Source organism: Homo sapiens, chromosome 2 (assembly GCF_000001405.40).
Source record: "Homo sapiens chromosome 2, GRCh38.p14 Primary Assembly".
Taxonomy (NCBI): Eukaryota; Metazoa; Chordata; class Mammalia; order Primates; family Hominidae; genus Homo; species Homo sapiens.
This window is the reverse complement of record NC_000002.12, coordinates 204,426,575-204,448,769: the sequence shown is the minus strand read 5'-3', so window position 1 is coordinate 204,448,769 and position 22,195 is coordinate 204,426,575. Positions and strand designations below refer to the sequence as shown.

The 22,195-nt window shown below is 39.4% G+C and overlaps 1 annotated feature.

Moving 5' to 3' along the window:
• Positions 9,962–10,509: an enhancer, noted in NCBI's record as "NANOG hESC enhancer chr2:205302984-205303531 (GRCh37/hg19 assembly coordinates)". NCBI's record gives its function as "activates a minimal SCP1, AML or CMV promoter by ChIP-STARR-seq in naive H9 embryonic stem cells {active_cell/tissue: H9 hESC(naive)}" and the evidence as "EXISTENCE:reporter gene assay evidence [ECO:0000049][PMID:30033119]".

Below are 22,195 nucleotides of genomic sequence, written 5' to 3'. Positions count from 1 at the left end.
CTCACTGCAGCTTCAACCTCCCCAGCTCAAGTGATCCTCCTTCCTCAGCCTCCCAAGTAACTGGGACTACAGGCATGTGCCAACATGCCCAGGTAATTTTTTTCCTTTTAGACACAGGGTCTTGCTATCTTGCCCAGGCTGATCTCAAACACCTGGGGTGAAGCAATCCTCCTGCCTTGGCTTCCCAAAGTGTTGAGATTACAGGTATAAGCTACTGCTCCCAGCCTGTTTCTTTCTAATTTTATTTCTTTGTGCTTGAGGAACATACTTTGTATTATTTAAATCCTTTTAAATTTACTGAGATTTGTTTTATGGCTTAACATATGGTCTATCCTAGAGAATGTTCCGTGTGTGCTTGAGAAAAATATTTATTCTTCTGTAGTTAGGAGTTTTCTATAAATGTCTAGTTGGTTTATAGTATTGTTCAAGTGTTCTATTTCCGTGCTTATCTTCTGTCTAGTTGCACTATCCATTATTGGAAGAGGAATATTGAAGTCTCCAATTACCATTATTTAATTGTGTATTTCACCCTTCAATTCTGTCAGGTTTTGCTTCACATATTTTGCAGCTCTGTTATAAGTATATACACTTTCATTATTATATATTCTTGCAGAGTGACCCTTTTATCACTATCAAATATCTTTTTTGTCTCTAGTAACAATTTTTTGTCTTCGAGTCTAGTTTGTCTGATATTAGTATAGTCACCCCAGTTCTCTTTTGGCTACTGTTGTATGATATATTTTTGTATTTATTTGCTTTCGATCTTCTGTGTCTTTGAATCCAAAGTACTTCTCTAATAGTACATAGTTGAATCATGTGTTTAAAAATTCATTCTACCAATCATTGTCTTTTGATTGTAATGTTTATTTCATTTACATTTACTGTAAGTAGTAAACATAGGATTTATACTTGATATTATCTAATTATTTTCTGTGTATCTCATGCTTTCTGTTCCTCTATTCTTCCATCATTGCATTCTTTTGTGTTAAATAATTTTCTATATACCATTTTTTTATCATTCCCTTTACTATATATGTTTGGGTTATTTTCTTAATGGTTGCCCTGGGATTACAATTAATATCTTAATTTAAAAGTGTCTGGTTTGGATTAATACAACTTGATTTTAACAGTATATAAAACCCTTGTTTCTAGGGATGTGAAGGACCTCTTCAAGGAGAACTACAAACCACTGCTTGAGGAAATAAGAGAGGACACAAACAAGTGGAAAAACATTCCATGCTCATGGATAGGAAAAATCAATATTGTGAAAATGGCCAAACTGCCCAAAGTAATTTATAGATTCAGTGCTATCCCCATCAAGCTGCCATTGACTTTCTTCACAGAATTGGAAAAAAGTACTTTTAATTTCATATAGAACCACAAAAGAGCCTGCATAGACAAGATAATCCTAAGCAAAAAGAATAAAGCTGGATACATCACTCTACCTGACTTCAAACTATACTACAAGGCTACAGTAACCAAAACAGCTTGGTACTGGTACCAAAACAGATATATAGACCAATGGAACAGAACAGAGGCCTCAGAAATAATGCCCCATGTCTACAACCATAGGATCTATGACAAACCTGACGAAAACAAGCAATGGGGAAAGGATTCCCTATTTAACAAACGGTGTTGGGAAAACTGTTTAGCCATATGCAGAAAGCTGAAACTGGATCCCTTCCTTACACATATGCAGAAAGCTGAAACTGGATCCCTTTCTTACACCTTATACAAAAATTAACCCAAGATGGATTAAAGACTTAAACATAAGACCTAAAACCATAAAAATCCTAGAAGAAAACCTAGGCAATACCATTCAGGTAATAGGCATGGTCAAAGACTTCATGACTAAAACACCAAAAGCAATTGCAACAAAAGCCAAAATTGACAAATGGGACCTAATTAAACTAAAGAGCTTCTGCACAGCAAAAGAAACTATCAGCAGAGTGAACAGGCAACTTACAGAATGGGAGAAAATTTTTGCAATCTATCCATCTGACAAAGGGCTAATATCCAGAATCTACAAAGAACTTAAACACATTGACAAGAAAAAAACAAACAACCCCATCAAAAAGTGGGTGAAGGATCTGAACAGACACTTCACAAAAGAAGACACTTATGCAGCCAACAAACATATGAAAAAAAGCTCATCATCACTGGTCATTAGAGAAATGCAAATCCAAACCACAATGAGATGTCATCTCATGCCAGTTAGAATGGCAATCATTAAAAAGTCAGGAAACAACAGATGCTAGAGAGGATGTGGAGAAATAAGAATGTTTTTACATTGTTGGTGGGAGTGTAAATTAGTTTAACCATTGTGGAAGAGAGTGTGGCAATTCCTCAAGGATCCAGAACTAGAAATACCATTTGACCCAGCAATCCCATTACTGGGTATACACCCAAAAGATTATAAATCATTCTACTATAAAGACACATGGACATGTGTGTTTATTGCAGCACTGTTCACAATAGCAAAGACTTGGAACCAACCCAAATGCCCATTAATGATAGACTAGATAAAGAAAATGTAGCACATATACATCGTGGAATACTATGCAGCCATAAAAAGGGATGAGTTCATGTCCTTTACAGGGACATGGATGATGCTGGAAACCATCATTCTCAGGAAACTAACACAAGACCAGAAAACCAAACACCGCATGTTCTCACTCATAAGTGGGAGTTGAACAATTCGAACACATGGACACAGGGAGGGGAACATAACACACTGGGGCCTGTTGGGGGACTGGGGGCAGGGATAGCACTAGGAGAAATACCTAATATAGATGATGGGTTGATGGGTGCAGCAAACCATCCTGGCACGTGTATACCTATGTAACAAACCTGTACATTCTGCACATGTACCCCAGAACTTAAAGTATAATTTTAAAAAACCCTTGTTCTTGTAAAATTCCTTTGTGCCATTATTGTAATAAAATTATATCTTTGTATATTGTATGCCCATCAACACAGATTTATAGGTTTTGCTTTATGCAGTTGTCCCTTAAATCACATAGGAGAAAAAAAGTATTGCAAAAAATATATATCAATACTGTGTTGGTTTTTGTTTATCTGAGAATGTCTTAAATTCTTCTTCATTTTTTAAAGATAGTTTTGTCTGATATAAAATTCTTAATTGACACCTTTTCTCTCTCAGCACTTTAGATACATTATCTCACTGTTTTCTGGCCTTCATGATTTCTGATAAAAAAAATTGACCGTTAATCTTACTGAAATTCCTTGTATGTGATAAGTCACTACTCTCTTGCTGCTTTCAAGATTCTTCCTTTTCTTTATCTTTAGAGTTGTTTGCTTATGATGTGTGTGGTTGTGAATCCCTTTGAGTCCTTGAATGTACACATCAATATTTTTCATCATGTTTTAGAAGTTTTCAGCCATTATTTCTGTCCACTTTTCTCTCTCCTTTCCTTCTGGGACGCCTATTATGCATATGTTCACACGTTACAGGTCTCTGAGGCTTTGTTCATCTTTTTTCATTCTTTTATCCTTCTGTGCCTCATACTGGATCATGTATGTTGACCTATCTTCAAATTTGTTGGTTATTTTGCCTGCTCAAATCTGTGGTAGAATCCCTCTCATGAATTTTTTAAGTTATTGTACTTTTAAACTCAAGAATTTCTATTTGGTTCTTGTTATAATTTCTTGTTTTAAATTGATATTCTCTATTTGGTAAGACATCATTTTACTTTCCTTTAGTTCTTTAGTCATTACTTCCTTTGGTTCTTTGAACATATTTAAAAGTTTCTGATTGTCTTGTCAACTCCTTCATTTAACAGTTGGAATCTCAGAAACCCATAAAAGTTGGACAACTCTCCCATAGCCACACTGATAGTCAGTGGAAACTCAGTAAAACCCAGGGACTCAAAATTTCTGCATTATCTGTGAGACCCATCAAACGTCCCTTCTTCTTCAACTGCATTTCTCAGTAAATAATGTAATGCAGCAACTCTGGAAATCAGATCCTCCTTTCTCCCCAGAGTTTATTGTTTTTATTGTTATTTGTAGTAATAGTTGTTTGCTTAGTGACTTTTCTGAACTAATTCTGCCTGTGTTCTTTGGCATGTCAAAGCTACTGAAGTCTACTCGCTTAGCTTTACGGTTGGCTAATGAATCAACAGAGATTTCCTTAACCAAAGGTGAAAGCTTAGGGTCTTCTCAGGATTTTACAAATTGTGTGCACAGCCCTGGGCATGCTTATAACCCTGTGCCTAACTTGTATATGAAATCACTGAAATGACATAATTTGTATGTCACAGCTTGTACATTCATATGTATTTCATTCTTAACAGAACAGTGGAAACACTGTACAAAACTAAGTTGACTCTTTTGACTTCACCTTTTTCATACATGAATATTCTACCAACCCTCTCTACCTTTGGCTTACTGATAAGGAACAACGGATAAGAAAAGGAATTTGGGTTTCTTCCTTATTTCCTTTCCCCTATGTAATCATAGTTGAAAAAGCTTAAGAGTTTACTTTATGCAGGGAAAAGTAACATGAGTTAGAAAGGAGATGATAGGGTTCCTAGATCATTTGTGTTTCTTACACACTGTTGCCTTCTCTCAGTTTGTAGTAGGTTCTGGTTTTAATGGAAAGCACAGCCTCTCAGGGCTGTCAGCATCCCCACTTCTTCAGCTACAGATGTAACAGCCTTCCTTTGCACTCATTTTGAGTCTCACTAAATTTCCATGCATCATGAGTCTACCAGAATTCCTTGCTCCTGACATATCATGAATGCTACATGCAAATGGGGCAAGGACCAGGGAGCATGCATATTGTACATATCTCTTCTGCTCATGCACGGGTTCCATTGTCCCATTGGACTTCACTTATAAAATACAAGTTCAAAGATAAAACAATTAAGCATTTCAAGATGGCCATAAAGGGCATTACACCAAGTATGGGGTCTTATGTGACTGCATAAGCCTCACATCCATGAAGCTGGCCCAGTGAGGCAGATGCTGTTAAATGCCTTCCTACCCAGTTTCCCTTTCTTATTGATGGAAAAGACAAACTTACTATTTGCTTATGGTATCACTGTGCTCATTTAAGAACCTACCTGTCCTATCCCTTTTATTCCATTTTTTAATTGACAAATACAAATTGCATATATTTATCATATATACCATGTCATTTTGAAATATGTATACATTGTGGCATGGCTAAATGCAGCTAATTACCAAATGCATTACCTCACATATTTATTAACTTTTTTTGTGATGAGAACACTCAAAATCTACTCTCTTATCAATTTTTGAGAGTATAATGTATTGTTCTTAACTCAGGTCACCATGCTGTATAATAGAGCTATTGAACTTATTCCTCCTATCTAACTGGAATTTTGTATCCTTTGACCAACATCTCCCTAACCATCCGTCCATCTTCCCTCCCATCCATCCATCTGTCCTCCCATCCGAACATCTCCCCTCCCATCTGTCTGTCTCCCCTCCCATCCGTCTGTCTCCCCTCCCATCCGTCTGTCTCCCCTCCCATCAGTCTGTCTCCCCTCCCATCCATCCATCTCTCCTCCCATCTTCCATCTCTCATCCATCCATCTCTTCTCCCATCCTTTCTTGAAGCTACAGAGAGGACATGACACAATTCTGACCAATGAAATGGAAGCAGAAGTCTCAGCCTGCTGGGACTTCTGGAAAAGTTCTGCATCTAAAACCTAGCTCTTCCTCCTGTTTATTTATCCCTGAAAGGGGAATGCACCACTGAAGAAGGGGCAGCAAAGTATGCATGAGGTGGTGAGCATGAAAGCAAGAACTTGGGCTAAGGAGCAGGATTAGAAAACTGAAGGGAATGTGGATCTCCAAAGCTTTGCAATAGCCCTTAACTGCAATCCTCTGTATCTTGTTATGTGAGGAGAGTAAATCCCTGTTTGATTAAATTACAGTTTTTCAGGTGTCTGCTACTAGCTGTAGAACATAATCATAACTTACATCCATTAATTTTGAATACCACCTTTATCATGCACAAAATTCCCATAGATACATATTTTCTTTCTGTATTCTTAAACTGTCTCACTGATTTTTAAAATACATTTCTGTGCCGAAATCACATCAGTTGATTGGCTATAGATTTATAGTATGTGTTGTAATCTGTTAGAGCAATGCCTCTTCTCTTTGTTCTTTTATTAAAAGTCTTATTTTTATCTGTATTCACTTCCATGTGAATTTTAGAACATCCTTGGTACATTGAATGAAAATTAGTCAAATTTCGATGACGATTATGTTGAATTAAATGCTTAATTTGTGAAGAATTGAAATCTTTTACATTTTCATGATTTCCATCTAGGAACATAACATAACTTTCCTTTTATTCAGACCTTTCTTCTGTCCTTCAGTAGATTTTGTTTCACTTGCATGGATTCTGCACTTTCCTGTTAAATGTATTGCTAGGTATTATATCTTTGGTTACTATTATAAGTGGGATTTTTCCCACTGTATTGTCAAATTTGTTTTTTCAATTTTATAGTAAGGTCGTTATTTTTTATTAACCTTAATTTCATACTCAGCCAGCTGGCTGGAGCTCCATTTCCCCTAGATGCTTTCTAGGATCCCATTTCAGCCCTAAAAATTCTAGAACTTAGGTGTTATAGAACTTTGTCATTGGAAGAGGTTATATCTGGTTCAGGCCAAAGGAAAAGCTTCATGGAAAGGGTAAGATTCATTGTCATTATCATTTAAGGCTGTCTAACTCTTCTGGTGGTAATGTCTCCAATTCTGTTTATTTATAATTTTTAGTGCCAGGCTTTTTAGGGTTCCTTCAGACTCCTCTGCATTTCTTCATTGTTTAATGCTACCTCCACAATTGTTCCCAAATCTGATATGACATGACAGGCTGAGTAAGGACTGCTGTAAAATAAATCCCCAAACATCTCCTCTAGTGCTCACAGTTTTCTTAGTGGTGATCAATATCTCCTTTTGTCCCCCAAACCAAAGCTCCAAAACCTAAATTTACATTCCCTTCCCAGTGAATATATTGAAAGGCCACAGCTAAGTTTTTTTATCGAGCATTTTAGAGTTTTGGCACAGTAAATTAAAACTGAACTTAGAACAATTCTGAAAGAATGACTGTTAGCCAGGAAGTCATATTATCTTCTCTCACTCCACAACCCCCACTCATATTCCCAAGTCCCTAAGAAATAAGTCACCTATTGATAGTGTTAAAAAATTAGCAATCAACCCCCAATCATGAGTCATGGGAGTATACATGGTTTAATGAACCAGTCTTCAGACATGGACTTACCATAACAGCCAGGAAGATGTCATCCATGCATTTCCACATCTGGAACATTTTAGGTCCTTCCTAAATGAGCAGGGGAGGAAAGAAGTAGGGAGAGATAAGAAGCTTTATTTTCCAAATAGATAAGTTCTTGAAATTTTTCCTGAAAAGCCTTTGAAGGTCCCTCTGAGGGGTATTGATTTTAGAATCGAGAGACTTGTATTAAAACCTGGCTTTAAGACTTACTATGCTACTTCCATAATTCATTCTCAACCTCCTCAAGTCTAGTTTTCTGCATACAAGAATGTTTAGAGGATAAAATGAAATGAAGTTGACAAAAGAATCATGTAAACTGTAAAGTGCTTTGCAGATGTAAGTTGTTAGTAATTTTGGCATGTTGAACACTTCCCCTTGCCTGTTACATAACATGTCTGGGGATATATAATTCAAAGGGGAAAAGAACCCTGAAGTGGCCTCAATGCATGAGAAAATCATACTTAAGCATGATGGAAACCTTTACAAAATATATAATTAAAGTAAAACTCATGACTTCATGATAAAATTTTGATGAAAATAATCAAAAACAAGTCATAAAATATAAATGCAAAGTAGTTAACTTTGTTCTGATGTTTGAACTAGTGGCTTAGAAATCTAAATAAAATGATGACAGGGTGATTTAATCAAATGCACAGAGTTGCCTAGTTTTTATAAAGCCTCCTACCTGACAGACCTCCCTAGGGCTAGAGAGCATGCACTTCTCTGGTTGGAGAGACTCAGTTTCTTCATTGTGTCAGGGAGGTTCTGGTTTTCAGATTGTCAGCAACAGCAGCATCGGCATCATCCTCATTGCATTAATTCCCTGTTGCTGCTGTAACCGAGTAGCAAAAAAAAAAAAATGACTAGGTTAAAATGACATGGATTTACTGCTTTGCAGTTCTGGAGGTCAGAAGTCCAAAATGGGTCAGCAGGGATATAGTCCTGGAGGCTCTAGGGTAGAATATTTTTCTTGCTTTTTAGGCTCCTAGAGGCTGCCTGCATTCCTTGGCTCACAGCCCCTTCCTTCCATTACTCTAAGCTCTGCTTCCACAGTTACATCTCACTCTCTGACCCTCCTGCTTCCCTATTATAAGGACCCTTGTGAATACACATTGGGCCTACTGGATAATTTAGATTATCCAGTAGATAATTGAGATCCTCATCTCAAGATCTTTAATCACAGCTGCAAAGTCCCTGTTACCATGTAAGGTACCATACTCATAGGTTCCTATGAATGTGAACATCTTTGGGGGTAGAGGCATGAGCCAGCCCATAATAATCCTCAACAACAATGAACACTTATTGAGCATTTTTAAAATGTGACAAGCATCATTCTAAGTACCTCATACACATTAAATCACAAAAATCTTATGCAGAAGATATCATTCTCTTCACTTTAGGGTCATGACATTGAGGCATGGAGAGGTTAAGTAATTTGTCTAGTCACACAGCTAGGACATTAACCCACGTGAGCTGACTCTGGATCCCAAACTACTCACCAGTATCCCCTTAAGAAGTGAATAGATTGGCCCATTAGACTTAAAGGACACAGAAGCCCCTAAACAGTTTTTGAAGAGGCAGTAATTTTACAGTAACAACACTAACAATGGCAGTATTTTATATTTTTGTAGTGGTTCACAATATCCAAAACACATTCTCAAGATGTTCCACAAAAATTTCTCATAATTCTCAAAACAACATTTTCCTCCATTAAATCCCTTTCTGATTTATCTAAATAACAAGGGCTCATATTATGCCTTTTACTGGAATTTGTATACCTGTTTGTCCTGTTAAACTGTGATCTCTTTAAAGGTAGAAACAACCTCCCCTTCAAAGAAAACAGTATTAGTGAGTTGAATATATTCAATGAATAGGTGTTGAATTGAATAGTATACCTGAGGCAGAATATGGTTTGGGGTACTGGAAACCTAAAATACACGTGGTAGACTCTTCCTTTAATGACCCCCAATGAACCATGACTTCCAGTATTCATGCCCTGTGTAATCACCTCTCAACTTGACTTGGGATGATATATAACTATTTTAACCAATTGAATATGATGAAAGTGATATTGTGCCAGTTCTAGTTCCAGCCCTTCCTTGACCTAAAAGTTTCTCTTTTCTCCATCTTGATATTCTCACTCTTGGAATACTGCTTTTGAACCCAACCACCATGCTGGGAGGCAGTCCAAGCAGCCATGTGGAGAAACCCATATGGAATAGGACTGAAACCCCCCACCAATAGCACTGAGTTCCAGTAGACCCTCCAGATGACTACAACCATCTGACACCACAAAGAATAGAATTACCCAGACAACCTGCAGAATTGTGTGTTATTTTGAGCTTCTAGGTTTTGGGGTGATTTTTAATGTAACAGTACTTAACCAGAATACCAGGACAACCATATGTGTGCAGCACAGGGACACCATGCTCTCTCTTCCTCCTGCTGAAGCATTCTTGGTGGGACCATAGATTCTAGGTTGAGAAGGCAGAAACTCTGCCACCTCTAAGCCATTGAATGGTTCCTGCAGTTTGGAAGAGAGTCTTCTTGCAGTTCCAGAGACTGAGGAGTGTAGGCTGAATGTGGCTTTCAGAGTCTGGGGACATGAATAGTCAGAAGGAGGATTGCTGGGACCTGTGCTGATTTGAATTCCTTAGAATCTGAGTCTGGCTGTCCTCTCTTTTTATCCTCTGAAGACTTAGTAACTAACACACACTTTCCTTTCTCCTTTTCCAGTGGTTTCACCTTCTCCTGACAAGGGGGTCTTGTTTCTTATTGTTGAGAATGGCAGTCTTGTGTGTGCAGTCTTTTGATCCCTAGTTGGCCACATAAGAATGAGCTCTGGGCTGGGAACACTTCTTTACCAAGAGCTAAGGAGCCCACCCACCTATGCTGGGCTTGCCACCTGGTGTGGAAGTTATTTTCCCTGTTTGGACCCATTGTGTACTCCTTTGTTCTGCTTAAGTAAATGCGTCCATCAATGGCTCTCAGATGTGCCCCCAGTTTTCTGCATGTCAGAGCTCACAGGGGAAAGCTGGAGTCTTTCTACTGCAGCACACAATAGGGTACGTGCAGCCAACACTGCCCTCACGGGCTGCGAGTAGACCCACCCGCCATCGGGGACGGAGGTGTTTTAAGGGGCAGGATGTTTCCGTGAGCACTCTCTCGTCTCTTGCTCTAAGTAAATGCTGAGGCTGCTGTGCGCTTTGTTTGTCATCAGTGACCTTGAGCCATGTGCTGGTCTGTTCCCAGAGTGGCACTTATTTGCCTTTTAACCTTGGTGGCACCCATATCCTATCTTGTGGCACAACCCAGGGAACGGCAAAATATTTGCTTTGCAGCCTTTCAACTTCCCTCTTGACTTCCTGTCTTTGACTGTACTTTTTCCAGTTCTAGTTCTCCACTGTGGGGAAAAACAAGAAACATAGAATAAAACAGAATCCGTCCCTGAAGCCAAGTGATCCCAGTTGCCTAGAGAGACATTACTGGAAGGCGCACCTGTCTGACCTTGCAGGTTCCTGCAGAAGATGCTGTGCTGTTGATTCACAATAGGCTCGTGTGCTATTAACATGAAGACAAAACCACATGGCGCAAAAAGATGTGGCTCAGGAGCCGGTTCTGAATGACGAAGGCGCCCTTCCCACTCCACATTCTTCCTTCCTCGCCCTCCACCCACTCCCCATTTTAAGACCCTTTAGGAAAAGACAAAGGCATTGACTCCATGGGCATTCAGTCCATCATGAGCTTCTCGTGCTTGTGTGTTGTTTGGGGAGGGGGTGAGATGAGTGAGGGATGGAATGGAGCCTGTGGTTTCTGTGAGGGACAAGTGGGAGGGGCAGCAGTGGTGACAAGGGTGGGGGCATGCATGCAGCTGAGGGTTCACCTCCCTCCTCCCACTCCCTTTATCTACCATCTGCCAGCCTAAACGCCGTTCTACCCTCACACTGGGGTAATGGGAAGGACGAGAATGGGGGTGGGTGTAAACAATTGTCTAAATTAACAGCCTACACTACCGTGGGAAGGGAAAAAGGAGGCTGGAAGATAGTTGCCATCATTGTTTCTGGGAGAGATTTCAATCCCTCATTCTCTAGAACAAGGCACAGTTGTTTATGTAAAGCATGTATTGACAGCTCGAAAAAAAGGTCGGTCAGATTATTTATTTTGTTAACAAATATTAGTTCTATTGTCTGCCAAGTCCTGCTCTAAGCACTTTACAAATACTAATACACTGAATTCTTATAACAACTCCATGAGCTGAATACTTAGAGGAAAATATTATTTTTTAGAGACAGTCTCACTTTGTCACCTAGGCTGGAGTTCAGTGGCATGATCTTGGCTCACTGCAGCTTCAAACTGTGGGGCTCAAGAGAGCCTCCCACCTCAGCCTCCTGAGTAGCTAGGATGACAGGTGCATGCCACCATGCCCAGCTATTCTTTAAAAAAATTTTTGTAGAGACAGGGTCTCACTATATTGCCCAGGCTGGTCTTGAACTCCTGGCCTCAAGCAGTCCTCCTGCCTTAGCCTCACAAAGTAGTGGTGTTACAGGTGTAAGACACTGCACCTGGCCTAGATACTCAGAAAATACTATTTTTATCTCCATTTTGTGGATGAGGAAAGTGAGGTCTATAAGGGTTAAAGGCCTTGTACAAGGTAAGAGTTGCCAGATTTTGCAAATAAAAATAAAGCTCAGTTAAATTTGAATTTCAGAATGCGAACTGATAATCTTTTAGTAAAAATATGTCACATATATTGTCTGCTCACAAATTCTTGCTAACAAATCAAATATTGCATGCAACATCTAAGATACACTTATATTTAAAAATTATTTATGGTTTATTTGAAATTCAAACAGAACTGGGCATCCTGTATTCTATCTGGCAACCGGAGCTCCAAGAACAGACTTCCAATAAGTGGTGGATCAGGGCTTGAACCTTGAAAGTGTGGCTTCTAGTCCAGGCTTCTAAGAACCTTGCAATGCTGCCTCTCTATTGAACATTGGAATGCTAATTGGTTAAACAAAACATGAATCAAGTTGTGTTTTCTCTCTTGCAGGCCATTTGTGAAAGATTAAACAGTATTTTCTCTTTCTGTCTCTTGGAAGGTGGCCAGGGATTTGTGTCCAGTGGCCTAAGCTTCCCTGGATCCAGGAGAGAATTGAGAAGCTGTTATTTTTTTAAATTCTGAACCCTTGAAGCCATTGGACTGGTTTGTCTAGAGGTGTTTCTCAGGCTTAAAGGACTTCAAAGACTGATCTGTTCTAGGCTCTGGGAGGGCATAGGTCTGCACCATGGTGGAAGGAACTCAAATAAGGATAGGTGCACATATACCTGGAGAGAATGGACACCAGGTCACACTTGGGAACCTCAGCCTAGAGGCCCATGGTTGAAGGCTGGCACAAAGTGGGCAGAGCCACGTCCTCCCAGTGGAACAGGAGGGCTGTGAAGCAAAGAGCCCAGAAGGGGCTGCTGTGATCCCAGCCTAATTTTTCTGAACTACTTAAACCATAGAATTGATGACTTCAAAAAGAAAAAAGAAGTGACTTTCCCTTCCACGCTGTGTAGAAATCCCACCCCAGTTTTGTTAAAATGAATATATTAGTAAGCAGTTACTGTCTGCCTGGTTCTTGCATATTATACTTTCTCATTTGATCATAACAGCCCTGATGCCATATAGACCAAGACATAGAGCTGGAAAATGTTTGCTCTTGAAAACACTGATTATTTCCGTCGAAAACATGGGGTCTTAACTACCTCCATTGTACTACCTCTCTCCATTCAAAACCCAATTTTAATTTCTTGAGCCAAATTTAGATGTTTGATCTCCTGATGCTGGAGGGCAGCAGGGGAGTGGGGAGAGGGGGTGTAGTTCAAGAACCACATGCAGAAAACATTCTTTTTAGACTCTGTAGAGGAAAATTATACTCAAACATCAAGTACCGTTGGATTAAAAAGATTGTATTTCAAATAGTTGTCATTTTTTTTCAGAATTACACACCTTCTTTTTAATATCCTGAATTTAAAAGCTTAAATATAGATACCCAGTTTGTAAAGCATTGCAGAGAACAGGCTTCTCTCTACAACACAAACTCTGGTGTGATGTAGCCCTGGTCTTAGTTATGCCCCTCATCTACATTGCTCTGCTGCAGCCATGGTTGAGTCACCATTTCTTGACAGTCAGAGCTCCTGTGGACCCCACGAAGGTCCCTGTGGGGACCAGAAATACAGTACACTCAAAGGAGTCAAAGATGTTTACAACATGAATCAGCAATCCATAGCAATTTTTCCCCCTAAAAGTCACATCTTTCATATAAGCAATACTAATTATGCTGTTTAGTTTTGTTTTTCCAAGGCGAATGACAAGAAAAATGTATAACCAAGGAACTGGTTGACAGAAGTGAAGAAATATGAGACAACTAAAACAGAGAACAAAAAATAATGAGAAAAATTATTAAAAGAACTGAATTGTGTGGGTTGCTCTACTGGTAATGAGCCTGAACTAAATGAAGAAGTTGCATGTATTTATGGAACCTGCAGGAGAGATAAGGAAGTAGCTTTCTCCTAATCTCTAACTGGATTTTGTTTTCCAACTGGGTGGATAATGAAAGCAGCATGAGAAAGCTGTCCTGGGGTCACCCCTGCAGTAGTCCTACAAGGGGAGCTGGCCTCATAGATAATTTTTGCTTTTCCTCGCCTCTGCCTTTGGATCCCACTCTGCCTGGACTTACTTGTAATTTCACAGTAATTCATACCCAGTTACATCTTTCCACACCTATATATTAATTGCCTCTCCACACTTACCCAAAGGCCCACTTAACAACAGTGTTTTATTTATGGGCTCCATCTACCTCCCACTCTGAATTAGTTTATTGTGGCGGTGTAACAAATCACCACAAACTGGGTGGCTTTAAAGCAATATAAATTTATTTTCTGGAGGCCAGAAATCTGAAGTTGTGTGTTTGTAGGACCTCACTCCCTCTGAAGGTTCTAAAGGAGAAGGTTTTTGTCTTTTCCAGCTTCTGGTGGGTCTAGGCATTCCTTGGTTTGTGGCTGTAGACCTCCAATCTCTGCCTTGTCTTCACATGGCTTTCTTCTCCCCACCTGCCTTTGTCTTATAAGGATACTTGTCATAGCATTCAGGGCCCACCCAGATAACCCAAGATTATGTTATCTTGAGACCCTAACATATCTGCAAAGACCCCTTTTCAAAATAAGCTTATATTCACAGGTTCTGGTTTAATGTATCTTTGGGGGCAAATCATCATTGAACTAGCTATACTCCCTTTCCTAAACACAAGGTACTCTTATTCCCTAAGTAAGAGAGTAATCAAAGAAGAATCAATTTGTAATTCACCAAGACATTTTTTAACATCCCCTTTCCTCACTGCTCCAATTTTCTTATAAGCCAAAGCTACTTAAGATCATCATTGTCTTGTAAACTTTCAAAACTCCCTTGAAACTTACAGTCTGCTTTGTCTGAGTTCCATATATTCAGCTCTCATTCTAGTAAGTCTACCTTCCACAGTCCTTCCACCATTGCTGAATTATGTAGACCCATTTAGCTTTCCAAACCAGTGGTTATACATCCTGGTTTATAGGGACAGTTCGGGCTTAAGCCTGTTTGTCCCAATGTCCTTTCTTGTTGGCACCCCCTCTTTAATTCTCAAAATCTACTTGAAATGATACCCCTAACTAGAACACTTTCTCTTTTGTTGAGAAGGTTTGAGGGAAAATTTACAGAAAGAATTCTGTTGAGTGAGTGATGAGTGATGAGGAGGGGGAATTTCTTTGCCAGAAGTTGCAAAGTTGGAGGCTAAAATAGGAATGGGAAAGATCTGGAGACAATTGGCATACAGAACATATTATAGTGTAATTTAAGACAAGACTTCTGTTCTTCTCACTGGGGAGAGAATGAGCATCTACTAGTAGCTTGGGACCTCAGTTTTCTTATTTAAAATAGTCTAGGAGCAATTAGCTTCTGAAGTTTGAGTCTCAGATGTAATTGTATTATTTGGTTTGGTGAAATATGGTCTCTACAATTTTGCAAGCAAAACACTCCCCAGTGGTGCCCCTGAGCTCTGCTTGGGGGCCCAAGGACAAGCCCATCTGGGTCACTGCCACCACTACTGGTCCCCACATGGGCTGCAAGGGAGACTGAGGACCTGCCCAGTCAGTGCTTTTGCATTCTCCTGCCCCAGGGACCCAAAACTGGCCTGCCTAGAGTTCCCATCCCCAGAAAAGCTTTGTCATAGCCTTCACAAAAACCATAACCTAAACTACTGAGGAAATCACAGGACACTGCTGATATTGATTATAGCTGAAGAAATTATACGGAGACCACACTAGTGCACCCACCCAGAACCAAAGCCAAAGCACCCTACTCAACTGGCACTATAGATAGATCTATAAGAAAAAGTCATTCCCTACAAAAGCTATTGAATAAAATTGGAAGAAGTGTTTGGTACACCAGATGCACAGATATCAATGTAGGAACAGAGAAAGCATGAAAAAGCAAGGAAACATGGCAACTTTAAATGAACATATTGATTCTCCAGTAACAAACCCCAAGAAAAGAAAAATCTATACAATGCCTCAAAAGGAATTCAAAATAATGATCTTAAGGAAACTCAGTGAAATACAAAGAATACAGACAATACAAAGAAATCAGGAAAACACTTCATTATCTGAATGAGAAACTCAATTCATTCAAATTCATCTATCAAAGAGATAGATGTCATAAAAAAGAACCAAACAGAAATCTTGAAAAGCCCAAGAATAGACAGTGTTACTGCTGAATTCTACCAAATTTTCAAAGAAGAACTAAACCAATTCTTCTCAAACTATTACAAGAAATTGAAAAGAAGGGACTTCTTTCTGCTCATTCTACAAGGCCAGCATTACCCCGATAGTAAAGCCAGATAGGAACACAACAAAAAAATACAAAACTATAGGCCAATATCCCCAATGAACATAGGTACAAAAATTCTCAACAACATACTAGCAAATTGAATGCAGCACACCAAAAAAATAACACATCATGATCAAGTGGGATTTATTGCAGGAATGCAAGGATAGTTTAACACACGCAAGCCAATAAATGTGATGTATAACATCAATGGAAAAATTACAAAAACTATATGATCATTTTAATAGACACAGAAAAAACATTTGATAACATTCAACATTGCTTCATGATAAAAACACTCAACAAGGCCGGGCACGGTGTCTCACACCTGTGATCCCAGCACTTTGGGAGGCTGAGGTGGGCGGATCACGAAGTCAGGAGATCGAGACCATCCTGGCTAACATGGTGAAACCCCGTATCTACTAAAAATGCAAACAAGTAGCCGGGCATGGTGGTGGGCATCTGTAGTCCCAGCTACTGGGTAGGCTGAGGCAGGAGAATGGCATGAACCTGGGAGGTGGAGCTTGCAGGGAGCTGAGATTGCGCCACTGCACTCCAGCCTGGGCAACAGAGCAAGACTCTGTCTCAAACAAAATGCTCAACAAATTAGGTATAGAAGGAACATAGGTTGACACAATAAAGGCCATATAAGAGAAACCCTCAGCTCACAGCAAACTGAATGGAGAAAAGCTGAAAGTATTTCCTCTTAAGAACTGGAACAAGACAAGGATGTCCACTTTTATCACTCTTCTTCAACATAGTATTGGAAGTCCTAGCCAGAGCAGTTAAACAAGAGAAAGAAAAAAGGGCATCCAAATTGGAAAAGAGGGAGTCAAATTGTCCCCGTTTGAAGATGACATCATCTTATATCTAGAAAAACCTGAAGACTCCACAAAAAAACTCTTAAAACTAATAAATGAATGCATAGCCAGGCACAATGGCTCATGCCTATAATCCCAGCATTTTGGGAGGCCAAGGTGGAATAATTGCTTGGGCCCAGGAGTTCAAGATCAGCCTGGCAATGCAGTGAGACCCCCATCTCTACTAATTTTTTTTTCTTAATTAGCTGGGCATGATGGAATGCACCTGTAGTCCCAGCTACCTGGGAAGCTGAGGTGGGAGGATCACTTGAGCCCAAGAGTTACAGACTGCAGGTGAGCTATGATCATACAACTGCACTCCCACCTAGGTGACAGAATGAAACCGTGTCTCTGAAAACAAAACAAAACAAACAAAAAGCCACTAATAAAAAAAATTTAACAAAATTTCAGGATACAGAAATCAATATGAAAAATCAGTAGCATTTCTATACACCAATAACAAACTAGCTGAAAAAAATCAAGAAAGTAACCCTATTTGAAATAACTACAAAAATAAAGAAAATACTTAAGAATAAATAAAATGCTCAGGAATAAATAAAATAAAATCAAGGAGGTGGAAAGATCTCTACAATGACAACCATGAAAGAAAGAAAGAGAGAGAGAAAGAGCAAAAGAGAGAGAAAGAAAAAGAAAGAAGAAAGAGAGAAAGAGATAAGTCAATCAATTAATCAATCAATCATACTGAATGGGCAAAACTGGAAGCATTCCCTTTGAAAACCGGCACAAGACAAAGATGCCTCTCTCACCACTCCCATTCAACATAGTATTGGAAGTTCTGGCCAGGGCAATCAGGCAAGAGAAAGAAATAAAGGGTATTCAAATAGGAAAAGAGGAAGTCAAACTGTTTGCAGGTGACATGATTGTATATTTAGAAAACCCTGTTGGCTGGGTGCAATGGCTCACACCTATAATCCCAGCATTTTGGGAGGCCAAGGCGGGTGGATCACCTGAGGTCAAGAGTTCAAGACCAGCATGGCCAACATGGTGAAATCGCGTCTGTACTAAAAAATACAAAAATTAGCCAGGCATGGTGGCAGGTGCCTGTAATCCCAGCTACTCAGGAGGCTGAGGCAGGAGAATTGCTTGAACCTAGGAGGCGGAGGTTGCAGTGAGCTGAGATCATGCTATTGCACTCCAGCCTGGGTGACAAGAGCAAAACACTGTCTCAAAAAAGAAAAAAGAAAACTCCATCGTTTCAGTCCCAAAACTCCTTAAGTTGGTAAGCAAAATAGGCATTATTATACCCAGTTTGAAAATGGATGAAAATGCCTCAGGTTAAGTAACTTGCCTGAGATCACACAGCAAGTAAGAGCTGGAGCTAGGACTACAGTGAGTTTTAATTCACCCCAAAGCCTATGTTCTTTTCATGACAACGTTCATATGGAGGGTGACAAAAGAGGGGGAATGCTGGAAAATTATTGAATTAATTTTATTTATTGTTTTTGTGCAATGTAGTCTGAACACTGGCTATAACTTATCCATATTATATACATAGCTTAAGATTAAACTTATGTAAAGAAAGCAAAAGGCCAAAATTCTTCAGAAAATTTGATGGCAATTTAGGAGACTATCTTTAGCTTCCTCTACCCAAGGAAACGAGATTTTGACTCTCCGGGGACGTGCTCATAGACACGTCAAAGACAGGCTTTATCTTCACCTGTCTGCCTAAACACACAAAACATAGGGAGCTGGTTAAAGGTTCCAGCATGTTGTTCTTTGGTTCAAGGGAACCCACTCGACTTTTTCTTGTTATGCTTTTTCTTGTCCAATAAATCACCAAAGGGGGTGTAAAACTGTCCACTTCAGAACAGTGTGGCAGCTTCTTAAAATGCTGAATATACACCTCCTTCGTGACCAAGCAGTTTCACTTTTAGGTATTAAAATAAAAATATATATTCATAACAAGAGTTGTACAAGAATATTGATAGCAAAGCTATTTATAATAGCAAATAACTGGACAAATCCCAAATGTTAACAGAAGGATTCATAAACATGATAGAGTCACATAATGATTAGCCATTTTAAAAAAAGAATTATTGATTCAATCAATCAATCACCGGTCCTAGAGAGTCCCCCTCCAAAATAGACCTGCTTCCCTCCTTATCACCACCCTTGTCTAAGCTTCTGTAATCATCCTATGTTCTGAGGAATTCAATGGTCTTCATCCGTATCTCCTTAGCTGCTTTTAACTTTCTCAGATTCATTCCCCACAGAGCAGCCAGAATGATCTAAAAACACCACAAACCTGATCTTGGCACCCACTTACTACAGCTCTTCAGTGGCTGCGTCTTCCTTTTGGATGAAGTCTAAAATCTCTGCAGGCCACGAAGCCCTCCAGAATCCATTCCATCCCCTTGCTCACTGTGCCGCTTCTCCCCCAGCCTCCACTGTGTCAGATTCCTTTAGGCATCAGACAGCCTTGCTGAGGCTGTTCTGCCTTCAGCACAGCACTCCCAACCTCTCCTGGTCATTTCACCCTAGGCCTCCTCCAGAAAAAGCGAAATAGAGGGAAGTTAGCTCAGCCCATCTTAGGTTCGGCCTCTGTTATGTCTCCTTATGGGATTCTCTGCTTTTCCTTCATGGCACCAATCACAACGATAGTGATACAGGGTTTCAGATAATTATTTGCTTATTTTTTGTATTATTTTCCCCTATTGCTGCTGTAAAAAATTACCACAAACTTACTGGCTTAAAACAACATAAATGTATTATCTTACAGGTCTGAAAGTCAAAAATCTAAAATGAGTTTCAGTGGGTCAAAAGCAAGGGCTGTCTCAGGGCTATGCTCCCTCTGGAGGCCTTAGCAAGGGATCCATCCACCCTCTTGCCCTGTCCAACTGCTACACATCACCTGTATTCCTTGGCTCATGGCCTCTTCCTCTATATTCAAAGCTAGCAGCAAAACACCTCTCCTCCCTGCCATCTGCTTTGCTATTTTATCTTCTCTCTCTGACTCTGATCCTCTTGCCTTCCTCTTATAAGGACCCTGATGCTTACATTGGGCCCACCTGATAATTTAGGATCATCTCCCCATCTCAAGATCCTTAATGAAATCATGTCTGTGAGGTAACCATGTGAGGTAACATATTCACAGGCTCTGGGGATCAGGATGTGGCCATATTTGGGAGACCATACTTTGAGCCTACCACGTTTGACATCTCCCAAGGTTTTAAGCTCCATAATGGATAGAAACCATGTCTGTCATGTCCAGTGCTGAACTCTGACTTCCTGGAAGGAGCTTTGCACAAAATAGGTGCTAAATAATTCATTTGCTGGATAAAATAATAGCATTGAAGCCACTTGTATGCAAATTGATTAGATTTTGTAATATTTATTTTTCAGTTTCCAAGTTATTTTTCAGTTGCTTTTCCACGTTTCAGACTGGATCGCCTTTTGTGGTTCCGTAACCACTAAGGAGGGAGGGCCTGTTTTACCTGAACTTCCTAGTCTCATCAAAATGGCTCTAAAAAAATTACCTGAACCATGATTCAGTTACTTACCAATTCCATTTGAGTTTTTTGTGTTAAATTCTCTTTGCCTAATCATGTAACACCTAGGAACAAACACTCCTGAACTCCTCCTGCTTTAAAAATGTTCTCACCTGCATCACAAACTCCAGAATTCACGTGAATCAGCATGCATCCTCCAGCTCAACAGGCTTCTGAGAGATTTATGCCCCTGCAGTGCTTCTATAAGCCGGCTATGTGTTTTTTTTTTTAACTCCTATTGTAGGTTCAGGGGTACATGTTCAGATTTCTAGTTGAACTGCATGTCATGGGGGTTTTGTTTACAGACTATTTTGTAACCTAGGTAATGAGCATAATACCTGATAGGTAGTTTTTTAATCCTCTCCCTCCTCCAACCTTTCACTCTCAAGTAGTCCCTGGTGTGTTGTTCCCCTCTTTTTGCCCATGTGTTCTCATTTAGCTCCCACTTGTAAGTGAGAACAGGTAGTATTTGGTTTTCTGTTCCTGCATTAGTTTGCTTACGATAATGGCCTCCAGCTCATCTATGTTGCTGCAAGGGACATGATCTCATTTTTTATGACTATATAATATTGCATGGTGTATATGTACCACATTTTCTTTATTCAATCTTCCATTGATGGGCATTTAGGTTGATTCCATGTCTTTGCTATTGTGAATATTGCTGCAATAAACATACACAAGTATGTATCCTTATGGTAGAGCAATTTCTTTTCCTTTGGGTATATGCCCAATCATGGGCTTTCTGGGTGGAATAGTAATTCTGTTTTAAGTTCTTTTAGGAATCACCATACTGCTTTCCACAATGGCTGAACTAACTTACACTCCCACCAACAGTGTGTAAGCACTTTTTTCTCTGCAACCTCACCAGCATCCATTATTTTTTGACTTTTTAATAATAGCCATTCTGACTGGTGTGAGATGGTGTCTCATTGTGGTTTTGATTTGCATTTCTCTAATAATTAGTGATGTTAAGCATGTTTTTTAGATGCTTATTGGCCACATGTGTTTCTTCTTTTGAAAAGTGTTCATGTCCTTTACTCACTTTTTAATAGGCTTGTTTTTATACTTGTAAATTTGTTTCAGTTCCTTATACATGCTAGATATTAGATCTTTGTCAGATGTGTAGTCTGTAAATATTTTCTCTCATTCTTTAGGTTGTCTGTTTACTCTGTTGATAGTTTCTTTTGCTGTGCAGAAGCTCTTTGATACAATTAGTTTCCATTTGTCAATTTTTGTTTTTGCTGCAATTCCTTTTTATGTCTTTGTTATGAAATTTTTGCCAGATCCTGTGTCCAGAATGTTATTTTCTAGGTTATCTTCCAGAATTTTTATAGTATCAGTATTAGGTTTTACATTTAGGTCTTTAATCCATCTTGAGTTAATTTTTGTGTACAGTATAAGAAAGGGGTCTAGTTTCATCTTCTGCTTATGGCTAGCCAGTTATCTTAGGGCCATTTATTAAACAGGGAGTCCTTTCCCCACTGATTGTTTTGACTTTGTTGAAGATCAGATGGCTGTAGGTGTGTGGCATTATTTCTGGGCTCTCTATTCTGTTCCATTGGTCTATGTGTCTGTTTTTGTCCCAGTACCATGCTGTTTTGCTTACTGTATCTTTTAAGAATAGTTTGAA